This window comes from Homo sapiens, chromosome 2, assembly GCF_000001405.40.
Source record: "Homo sapiens chromosome 2, GRCh38.p14 Primary Assembly".
NCBI classification, from domain to species: domain Eukaryota; kingdom Metazoa; phylum Chordata; class Mammalia; order Primates; family Hominidae; genus Homo; species Homo sapiens.
This window is the reverse complement of record NC_000002.12, coordinates 16,545,235-16,557,358: the sequence shown is the minus strand read 5'-3', so window position 1 is coordinate 16,557,358 and position 12,124 is coordinate 16,545,235. Positions and strand designations below refer to the sequence as shown.

The 12,124-nt window shown below is 40.3% G+C and overlaps 1 protein-coding gene across 10 annotated transcripts in view; it reads left to right on the top strand.

The window, feature by feature from the left end:
- The window catches only part of CYRIA (CYFIP related Rac1 interactor A), a 116,376-nt gene extending 108,476 nt beyond the window's left edge, over positions 1–7,900 (top strand). For all 10 annotated transcript variants that reach the window (XM_024453163.2, XM_047445942.1, NM_030797.4 and 7 more), the window contains 2 exons: positions 2,220–2,290; positions 4,360–7,900. In XM_024453163.2, the coding sequence (XP_024308931.1) occupies positions 2,220–2,290; positions 4,360–4,423 (135 nt within the window). In that variant the 3' untranslated portion in view covers positions 4,424–7,900. The remainder of the gene's footprint in view (positions 1–2,219; positions 2,291–4,359) is intronic.
- Positions 7,901–12,124: the final 4,224 nt, after the last annotated feature.

The following is a 12,124-nucleotide window of genomic DNA, read 5'->3' as shown; positions in this document are numbered from 1 at the left end:
ACATGCAGTGAGCTCTGGAAACCTAGGGGGAGGGAGAAACTCGTTTTGCCGAAGAGCAGAGACAGAGGGTGATGTTTGAGGTGGACCTTGAAGAAGATGTAGGATTATCCCAAAAGGACAGAGGGAAAGCAGAGTCCTCCAGGCAGGGGGAATCATCCAAGTGGCTACCAAGGCGGCACAAGCCATTTATTAAAGAAATGCTAATTGTGAATGCCAGGAAAGGAGGGTTTGGGGAGATGGTGTTTTCAATTGATTTCCTTAGAATCTTTTGAAATGACCCAATAAGTAATCACCTCTTAACCCCTGTCTCCATCTCAGATTTTATCCAGAATTCCAGACCCCATTTCCCATGGACACCTGAAATATGGCCATCCCCAAAACAGAGATTCCCCTCCCCCCACAAACCTGTTCCTTCTCCTGGGTTCCCGTCTCAGGTATTTCATCGTCCTCCAACCAGTGTCTAAGCCAGAGGCTAAAATTGTCCCTGAGAATGAGGAATGGCTTCTTCACCCCATATCTCATCAGTCACCAAATCCTATGGAGTTGACCTCAGATTAGTCCCTGTCTCTACTTGCTCCTCCATGCCCACTGCTGCTCCCACACCTCACACCCTCAGGGGCTCTCACTGCCCCTTCTCTCTCTGTTCTTGCTTCCTTCTGGTCCTTTTCCATATTAACCACATCACTAGATTATTTAACACCTATCAAGGATGTTTTCCACAGGTAAAGCCCCCAGCTCCTGAACATGCTGTCGAATTCACACTGCATCTGGCCCCAACTGCATCCTTGACAGCATCTTGTTATTCATACCTACAGCTTAAATCACCCTAAGTGGAACTCCGGATTCCCAAACAGCATTCCCTGCTCTTCCACCCCTTCCACATCTGCATTGTCACTGCTTCTTAGGCCTGGTTCATAAGAACACTTCCACACTGTGATAATCAACTATGGGAGAGGGACAGAATCTCTGCATCCCTGGGCCTGATGCCATCCCAGGTCTGGGGTGGCATATACCTGGCATGCTTGTAGCTTCTCCCAATCCGGTATGCATGACAGACACCTCTCGTTTGCCATGACATTCTTTTTTGATGCACCTGTAGTGATCCTCACATGATTCCCAACCCTGTTTTCTGGCAGCCTCCATCAGTCTATCAGGGTCTATCAGGCCGTAAGATAAAACTTTTGACATGCAAGAAGCACAATGACAGAAAATGTTTCTAAGGGCTGTTACAAAAGGGGCCCTAAGTATAACCAAATCCAATATATAACAGCATATGAATAGCTTTGCAGAAAGATTCTTGCTTTGCCAAAAAACACTCCAGGATATGCATAATGTAATGTGATCTATATAAATTCAGTTTCCATGCACTTCCCAAATTACGGGTCAACTATATTATACAGACACAAAAAGCTAAGACACTTGCCTAGGTTTGTGAAGATACTAAAGAAACAAGCATGAAGGAAACTCAGGCATTTAGCATCTGTGAAGTTCACATTCTGAACAGTGGCCCTTCATCAGTCCTCTCAAAGATGGCTGAGACATAGACTTGGACCTCCAGGAGCTCCTGGTCTAGTGAAGAAAGAAGTTAATATGGGCACTAAATTCTCCAAGTTTCTCTGATAAATGACAGAGTCGTATTGGGAGCACAGAAAGGTGTTGGTTGCTTCTACCTAATGAAGGTAGTGAGGTCAGAATAGGATTCCAGGAGGTAATGATCTTCAGCTGGGTCTAAAATAAGTGTTAAGGGTTTGCCAGTCAAACAGGTGAAGGACAGAAAACATTCAGGGCAGAAGAATGGCATAAAATTATTCAGATTTTATTCAGTAAATCTCAACTGAGACATAGACTTGGACATAGACATGTCCAACATAGACATAGACATGGAAACTGAGCACTGAGTGGATGGAAGGCCCTGCATTTGGCTCCATAGTACAAGGCAAGATCAAAGTCTCAAGTCTTTGTCCCTAAAGCCAGGCAAGTGAAATGTACAATTGCAAATAGTATGAAAATTGATAATGATTGCAGTCATACAGAATCCTCTAGAAGCCCAGAGGAACAGCTCACCAGCCTGAGGGGGTAGGAAAACCTGTTGGTCATTTCTGCGTTGGATTTCTATGGGAAGATATAATGTGACATTATGGGCACATGTTATTATGGGTAGATATTGGCATAGACAGTATTACTAAGATATTAACAAACATTGTGCTTTCTCCTCCTAGATGAAAGGCTGCATAAAAGTTTTGAAGGAGCAGGCCCCAGACAGTGTGGAGGGGCTGCTAAATGCCCTCAGGTGAGCTTCAACCCTGTGTCAGCTCACAGGGAACAGCCAGCCTTTCAGGGCCATTGCAAATTTAAATACTGTTGTGGATAGCACCAAACTTAACCCTTGCATATTTTAACACATTGAATCTTCCTAACAATCTTTTGAGGTCAGCACCATTTTTATCATTCCCATTTTTAAAGATGGAAAAAAAATGAGATTTAAGGAAGTCAAATAACTTGCCAAAAGTCACACAGTAAATGGCCAAGCTAGGACCTGAACCCAGGTGTGGGTGACCCCACGGGTCATGGACCTGATTCTCAGCCACACTGCTTTGGGGCTTAAAGAGACTCCTCAGAACAAGAGGCTTCCAGGCTCTCACTTTCCACTTTACCAGTGGTTCCCAAACCTGGCTGCACTTGAGGATTATGTGGGTACCTTTTGAAAACACTCTGTGTGATTCTGACTGCATGTGACTCAAGACCAAATGAATCGGAATCTCTGGGCTAGGGTCTCAGGTATCCATTTTGTGTTTCTTTGTTTATTCTAAAGCTCCCCAGGTGGTTCACATGTGCAGCTACCAGAATTGAGAACCCACTGTCTAGATGCCTAAATATTTGGCCAGCTGTGGCATGTTTCAGCTTCTCACTGCTAACAAGTGATGCCTAGGCAGCTGCTTTCTTCCCAGGGATGCATGTGCTTAATCCATTTCAGAGAGGGGATGCTTTTTTTAGCTCTGACACATCTACAAGAATTGGTTGAATCACACTGCTATGTAAATCATTCTGATACTAGATTGCAGTCCAGAAGGTTTATGGTCCCTGTTGTCTTATTCATCTTTGAGTCCCCTGAGTTCCACTCAGTGTTGTACATGCAGTAAGTGTTCAATAAGTCTAAGTGGGATGGATCAATAATGCTCTACCTATGTACAATGCTCATGTTTTATACTCCACTTCTAATCATATTGTCTCATTTAATCATCACAAGTCAGAGAGGTAAGGGTGATCTGTTACCCCCACTTAATAAATGAAGAAACTGAGACACACACAAAATGAACAAAATAGACCCTGAGGTTGATGCTGTTTTGCTGTGTTGCTAAGTCATCATCCTTTAGAAGAGACTTAGTATTAATGTAAGAGCCTTCCAGAGTCTGTGGGAAAAACTAAGGTTTTCTCCTGGTGTCCATTTCACACCCAGGATGACTTTCTATACACATGAATAAGGCTTTAACTTCTGAGTGTGTTGAGCTTTCCAGCATCATTCAATCAAGCAAAACTCTGTGCTAGGCCCTGAGTCCCATCTGATTTGTTAGAATTTGTACCTCCTGGAGGCACTGTGATGATGTCAGAGGAGCACAGGCTTTCCAGATAGCAAAATATAGGTTTGAATCAGAAATCACAAATCTCAATTCAGTAACCTTGTGATCTGGAATAGATCATTTAACCTCTCTGAATCTTAGTTTTCTTTTCTATAAAATGAAGGCAATGACCTCACCTTTACAAAGTTATTGTAACACGAAACTTAACATGGAGCGCCCATGACCTGGCCAAAGTTTTATTACATGTTAATTCTCTTTTCCTTCTTTTGCATAAATGATTTCTACACCCGGCTATTGGGAGGCTGCAGATTGCACCATTTTTGTGGGTTTGCTTACCAGCATTTGTGCCCCCTTGTGGTGGCAATGAGGTTAATTAAGCATTGCCAGGAAAGTGGAGAACCATAAACATTCCAGTTCTGGGCAATGTTGCTATGCAAATCTCTATTCTGAAATTTGTGAGTTAGCAGGGGCAGCCTCAGTGGTCAGGATTCTGCACTCAATCCTGTGAAATCCACCTCCCTAGAAAATGAGACCGCTCATATCTCCTCTGTGTAATTATTTGATTATGTAAAATATCTACTTGGTTTAATAACCATAATACAAAATTCCTTTGGAAGGAAGAATCAAATATTAAATCTGAGATGACTGTGAGCATTGAAGTGTGGATTTTTGTCTAAAGAAATAAGCCCAAATATCAATTGTGTTTCCGAAGGTAAAGATGGGCTGAAGCTTACACAGAGCACTGTTTGCCGCTAACCTCTACCATTCTCTCTCCATCCAGGTTCACTACAAAGCACTTGAACGATGAATCAACTTCCAAACAGATTCGAGCAATGCTTCAGTAGAGCTCTGCTCAAAGAAGAGGATCTATGTGCTGACCTCAGAAGATGTATATGTTTACATAATTTAATACAGATTGATGTTAATACTTGTGTATTTACATAACCGTTTCCTTCTTGTCACTGAAATATATGGACCTTAATTTGTATCCTGACTGACTCAACCCAGCAGAGCATAAATTGACTTGAGAGCCTTACCTTTGATGTCTGAAATGAAACCCCCTTCTCCAAAGGCAAAATTCGGAGACTTTGATCTTTGCTACTGGAGTCCTTTAACAACATCTATAACGATAAAAAATTCCTAATTGTTTGTGGTAGTATTTTAATTCTAGATGTGTTATCTCTCTGGGAAGTATAGTTTATAGAAACACAAAATATTTGATTTCCTGTGTCGGCTCAGCTACAAGAAACACAACTGTTATCTTGACAGAGGAAGAGAGGAATCCAAGAAAAATGCATGTGGAGAATTAAACCCAAGTGTTTCGAATTCAGCACACCCCCTCTCTGTCCTCAGACTGCAGTCCACACGTGCAACTTTTCTGTTTGCACGTGTTTTATTAATCAGCATACTCCTTTTCTGTTTGGATTTATATCCCTCTAATGTTCTCCTTTAATTTCACATGAAAAAAAAATCTCCTGTATTTTTTTCAGTTAGTGGGAGAGCAGCAGAAATAGATAGATGTGCTGTTGCCACTGGACTGATGAAGGTGGCTGTCTTGGAACTGGGAGACAGGTCCTCAGAGGTGCACTCAGGCAACAGGACAGCCATCTCTCTGCTTCAGCCCTCTGCCTACAGGGATTAGGGAAATGGAGCTCTGGCTTTGAAGTTATTTGTGAGTTTAGCAACCTTCCAGTTACCTGCAGAGTTCTGGGTGCACAGCCACCCCTCATAAGAGCCCTGTTCTCTGAAGACCATTCATATGAGAACAAAGGTCTAGGATACTGCATTAGTTACCAGAAAACTAGGGGAATTTAGAGGGAAAAAAAATCCATGTTTTCTATTTCCCAGGTTTTTAAAAAGTAGCTCTTCCCCAACCCCGTTGCTAGCTTGTTGCAATATAAAAGCCCTGGTGCACCTGAATTTACTCCTGGCCTTACTAATGATTCATAATGTGATCTTGAGAAATGTGTTTAAGCTTTCTGAGTCTTAACCTCCTTGTCTCTAAAATGGGCAATTAAAACAATCTTCAAGAGCCCTGTAAGGTTAATGCCGATAAAATGACTGACTCCGCCCTTCTTCCTTAGTACGTAGTATCCAGCAAGCATTTGCCCCACCTTGTCTTGTTGATGAACAATATTATGAAGCCTGCAGTCATTCTCTCTGTACATCAGAGCTTAGTTCGAATGGAATCATGAAAATCTCTGATTCTGACCTCCTAAGGAAAAATGAAACCCAGAGGATGTGGTCATACAGGATGGCTCCCATGTGGGCCTAGAACCCAGGATGCTTCACTCTTGACTCCATGCTCTTCCTTTTATACCATGTGGCTGTGAATACATACTATGGGATGGGATTCAACCCTTCTAAGTAAATCCTCAGTCTGGTCTATATTGTTACTTGCCTGTTTCCACTAGAAGGAGTCACCCAGGCATTTAGTGAATGATAATCCTAGAAGTTGAGTCTGAGTACATCAGAGTTTGGCATTATTTGCAACATCCCAGGAATGAGCTATAAGACTCCATTGCTTTCTGGACTTTAGTGACCAGCTGATCTTCCCTTGGATCCTCCAATAAAGGGGAAAAAATACTTGTCTTATGTTGTTTTAGCAAGGGAGTTCAGCCAAGTGACAGGAAAGATTCCCTGGTCTGCATCTAAACATTAGTCAACAGAAGGAAAAGGCTCTTTTCCTTGGAGATTTTCAAGTTGAAAAAGTACAGCTGCTTGGATGGAGTTTCTCTCATCAGAATAGAAATATGCTAGGTGGTCTTCAAGACCTTTTTGAACCTACAGATTCTAAACCTTAGAGGAAGCCAGAATATGTGATCATACCAGGTGAGGAAAGTTAGGAGATATTCATCTTAAGAGATATCCTATTTGGCAGTCACATGTTACACTTGAGCAACAATTGTCTAGGCTAGAAATATAGAACCACACAATATTTATCATCATTGGGTCAATTTCTCCCCCTCTATCAAGTGAGGAGATTAAGGCTTAAAGAAAGGAAAGGACTTGCCAGCCACCACAGGGCTCATGAGGGGCTTGAACCCATGTCGTGTGTCTCTACCACAGCTGACTCTCAGCTGGCTAATGGAGAAAATGTGAGGAATTACCTGTCAAATTAGATTGAGCTCAGAGTAAATAGATGAGCACATTTATAACTCTAAATTAGACTTTCTATCAAATGGGACCAAACATATGGAAGGGGCTGCTGTCCTGCCTCAATTTAGCCAAGACTTGTCTTGTCTCAAAGCCAAGACTCAGCAGTACATGGATTCTGAGAAGTCCAGGGTCTGAATTGTTGTCTCTGATTACTGGAAGGACAGGTTAACTGAATGTCTGTGATCACTAACAGGTGATGGGCTTTGTGCCCACTCCAGAGATATTGTGGGAGACAAATTCTTTTAACAGCCTGTCCTCCCGGCATCAGGAGTCATTGAACAATCATGGATTGTTGTGTTTGGGATTTTTTTTTTTTTGGCTTTGTTTTTGGTTTTTGTGTGTGTGTGTGTGTGCTGCATGCACATGCGTCCAAGACTTACGGGTGGTTTAGGGGAAAGTGCTAGCAACAGTGTCAATGTCATTGTTAACTATATTTCATATTTGAGGTCTCATTGTTTTCAAATAAACAGTGTTTTCCATGACTGAGATATTTATTTTTGGGAAAGCAACGAGGTAAAAATTATGTTTCTCAGATGCACTGCTACTTTGGCGTTATTACTGTGTTCTCAGAAACTCGTTGTGCACCACTAGGAATTAGTAGTAGAAAAAAAAAAACAATAACAAAAAAAAAAAACAACTGGAAATGGATGTCTTCACATTAGGGGTGGAGTATTAACAACCAGAAAGAAAGTTTGGATATTACCTTTTAACTACTAGTTAACATCATGCTTGATCAACATTTGCTCCTAGTTATCACCATTAAATTAAGACCTTAATGGTAAACTGAGGTTACTGATGCATCATCACATTTAAGTAAAAATAATTTCATGTTTTCCCCAAAGAAAAATTAAGCCTCCCAATCTTAGGATCCAATTGTGCAGTAGAATTCAGAGACTTCTCATTCAATCTTGTATCCTATGCAGCTACAAATATTTTTTAAATGTTAGTAATAAACATTGGAATTTTGTCTTAAAGAGTTCAAAACCTTGGAACCCAGTTTTCTCACTACGTCTATAAAGGCCATTACAGACCCAAGGCTGTTTTGCAGTTTTCATATGTTGTTTGCTGAAGTCATTGTAATTTTTTTTGCCTGCTTTGCCTTTTTTTCTACAGGAGTTTTGAGTGTGAAATGAAAATTAAAGTTTGGTACATATATTTAAAAATGCACCTCTATTTTATATGATGCTTAGGGTTGAGTGGGTGATAAGCACGTGATGATTCGTCTACATAGATACTTGCTAGACACGTACTCTGAGAAAATCACACCAGCAGCCCTTCACCTCTCTACACCTGAATTTCTTAAAAAAAAAAAAAAAGTCATACACAAAATGTGCTACTCGTGGTACCACCTGTCTTTTGTTCATTTTGCAAGAGAACCCTGAATAACAGCCAAAGGCAGGAAATTACCAAAAAAAAAAAAAAGGCAGAAAATGAACAGAGACATGATTGATATCTAGAGATGCCTGAGCCCTACTTGTCGAGAGATGCTAAGAAACACTAATAAGTGATCTTTTATTCTTTCTTTTGAGTGCAGTACTACTTTTTGGGTTTGGCAAGATCAGCAAATAACCGGTTTTATGTTAAGTATATTTTTCAGACAATGTAAGCCCTGAAATAATTCTTCTAACTATTCAACTTTGAGGCTTTCCTAGAGCATTGCTTTTAATCCCTGCACTTCTGAAGCTGATCACCTGAGACCTAATTGTGTGTGCTATCAATGGCTCAGAAGTCCCAAGAGAGACCTTCCATGATGCCCTGTGCAAAAGACAAAAGCACAATTATTAGGATTATTTGTGACACAAAGGGAAAGAAATAGAAAAAGGAATTTTTCTGTAAATTGACAAATGGACAAATTTAAAGAGATAAAACCTAGAAAGAGAGAGAAGGAAAAGGGGCCTTGAAGAGTGTGCATGTGTGTGCCCCTAATTAAATGAGTGTTGAGAGTCAAAGACATGAAAAAATAAGGAAGGGAGAATATGCGTAACTGTCAAGAGAAATACAGATAGTGAGGAATTGATGGATGTGCAATTCAGAATAGTCTTTATACCAGCCAGAAAGTTGACTGTTATTCGGGGTTCTCTTGAAAGGATGGGGATGAGGAGCTCAGCTGACCACATTCATGAAACCTGGTGAATATTTGCAGTCTTTCTTCATACCTGATTTCACCTTTTGGCTTATCAATGTGTAGATAGAATTTCTAGGTGTTTTCTGCTTGAAAGGTCTATATTATATTTGGCCATCACAACTTAAGTGACTGATTAAATAATACTGAATTGTATTGATCAGTTTATTTAAGCTATTTATATTCACTAAATACAATAATCCATCCAATACCTAAATCCTAGTGCAGACTGGCCTAATACCATGCTGACCTCACCTTCATAGTGCCTCTTACGTCATAAATAAAGTTCTAGGCCATTCTGTCTGCTTCTGCTCAGAAGTCAAACTCTAAAGAAGAGAGGTTTCCTGCACTGGTCCCGTCAGGTTCCTGAGGCTATGTCTTTGATGCTCTAGTGCTTTCCTTGCCTATTTTTCTTACATGAAAGTCTGAAAATTCTGGAACTGTTGGAAATGGATGTTCTGAAAATGTGTTCTGCAAAATACCTCCATCAGATTGCCATTTGAAATTGTGCTATATAGAATTTTAGGTAAATCTCAGAATTTAATTTTAAAAGAGTGTCTTTGGAGACACTCTTTTTGAAAATTGACTTAAGAAAATCTTTTCTTGGCAGGGCGCAGTGGCTTATGCCTGTAATCCCAGCACTTTGGAAGGCTGAGGTGGGTGGATCACCTGAGGTCAGGAGTTCGAGACCAGTCTGGCCAACATGGTGAAATCCCGCCTCTACTAAAAATGCAAAAATTAGCTGGGCATGGTGGCATGCACCTGAAATCCCAGCTACTCAGGAGGCTGAGGCAGGAGAATCGCTTGAATTCAGAGGACAGAGATTGCAGTGAGCCGAGATTGCGCCACTGCACTCCAATCTGGGTGACAAGAGTGAAACTCCATCTCAAAAAAAAAAAAAAAAAAAAAAAAGGAAACAGAAAAAGAAAAACAAAACAAAAGAAAATCTTTTCTCTATGACATCTTCTACTTTCCCCCATCAAATTTCACACTGCCAGATTATTTATTTTATCAGCCTGCATTTTCTGTGTATTTTTAAATGTTCCTTGTTTGCACAGTGACATGCTTTGTTTCAAGATGGGAGCTATATTTTATTCACCATTCTTAAGCCACCCAAGAGGTAAAGTTTTCAGTTCTGTGATTTGAGGAACGGAAGTCTTAAGAGGCTCCCTACACCTTGAAGAACATGCCTCTAGAAAATATCCAAAGCACTTGGGTGAGGCTATCAAATTGTTTTCTTCCAAATTTCAATATATTTGAAAAAATATTCCTTTTATATGAGACAAATAATAAAATCACTGTGGGGAAAGGTACAGTAGCAGTGGGGTTCCATGTGAATGTGAGTGGGGAGGATAAGCTAGACTATGCATAGAAATGTTAGGGAGCTCTGGTGAACTCTGAACCAGGTGAGTGTTTATTATCTCTCAGATGTGTCATGGGCATTTCCACACCTATGGTGCTGTCATTAATGCACACCCTCTTTTTTTGGTCTATATGAAGTCTACTTGTATACATCAAAGCCCAGGTCATTCTCCACCTCCTTTGTGAAGCTTTCCCTAATTATCCCAGCCCATGCTAACTTTCCTTTTCTGGGTCCCTAATGCATTTATTTGATACTAAATACAGGCCACTTTATAGCACTTGAAATTAGCATTTGTTTTTTCTACTAGATTTTGATTTCCTCAGTGTGTCCCTTAGAAGGCTGAGCTCAATATAAGCCAGTGGCCAAGAGGCTGTCTGCCAAGGGGAAACTTCAGTGTCCTGAGACCTGATATACTAAAATCAAACCCTGAGAATTAATTTCTACAGCTCACCAACCATCCACAATAACAAATTATCTCCTTCCTTGGCTGGTCAATTTTATTTCAAGAGGAAATATTTACCTACCTGTCAGGATGTTTTCAACTTCTGTGGACACAGCCTACAGTTTGCGGCTGCTCTGCCAGGAGTCCAGATGAGAAATCAGGCTGTTGTCTTGATCAAAAGTCAGTTAGCTAGTCCTGGCAAGGGCAGGAAGCCAACATAGTAGTTAAATTATGTCTTGGGACATCAGTCTGGGACAAGGCTGCTACTTTATAAGAGAGCTGAGTTTGACACACTCAGAGGCAGAAAGGCACCAGAAGCAGAGAAGTTCACATAACCAGACAAATTGATTCAGCACCTTGGAGAGCAACCTAGGTGTTGTGCCCTAACAGCATAGTCTTTACACTGGATTCTACAAGCCCTATTAGTTGGTTCAACTTTGTCTCTAGAACTCCGGTTTTCAAAGATAATATGCTCCTTCTAAAAATAAAGTTACCAGGTAGCTAGAAACCCACCTTCTTCTTTGTGGAACTTCTGAATATCACACAAAATGGGCAGAAAGAAGTTTGAAATGCCGAGGAATCACCTTGAGTGTTCATATTTATGGTGTTTTCAGATTTAAGCCAAACTTACAGGCATGACTCTTCCTTCTTCTTTAGTCCCACACCTCTTAGTCATACATATTTTTTCAAAACAGCTCTCAAAATATAGCAACTTCTCCCTAGTTTGTTTTGCTTTATTTTCTCAAACCATCATCATCTCCCTAGATCACCCAGCCTTTTCTGTTGCTGCTGCAATTTTTTCTCCACACAGCCAACACTCATTTTGTTGACATGTATCTGACCATGCTGATGTCTTTAGAAAGTTTCCTGAAATATATTTTCAGAGTTGTTAATTGGTTTTCAATGTGTGGGGTGAGAGGAAGATGTCAATTTTCAAATATTTGTGAAACAAGATTAAAGACATTATTTTATTATTGTTTTTACTACCGGATTTTTTTTATATATTGCAAATCTCCATGGGAGGGTATACCGTATGATACATATCAATTCTCAAGTTTATTTGTCTAAAGACTCTTGTGTATTTCACAAAACATCTATAATTTCTCATGGACATTAGCATTCTGCAAAAACATTACTAAGTCAAACCCAATAGCTTGAGATACAAGGCCTTCTATGAGATAAACTGCTTAATTCTCCCATCTCACTTACCTTCTATCAAACACGCATCCCATTTTCCCATGCTACAAAACTGGTTACAGTTTTCTAACATATCATCAATTTTTTCATAGTTATATGTTGCTAATAATGCTTCCCCTTCTGCCTGAAATTCGACTTCCTTTCATCTGCCTTATAAAATTATATTCATTCTTCAAGGCACTGCTCAAATGTTTCTCCCTCTTTGGACCTTTCTGTGTCCTATCCCAAAAAAATTATGAACTCTTTTCTGTGGTTCTCATCCC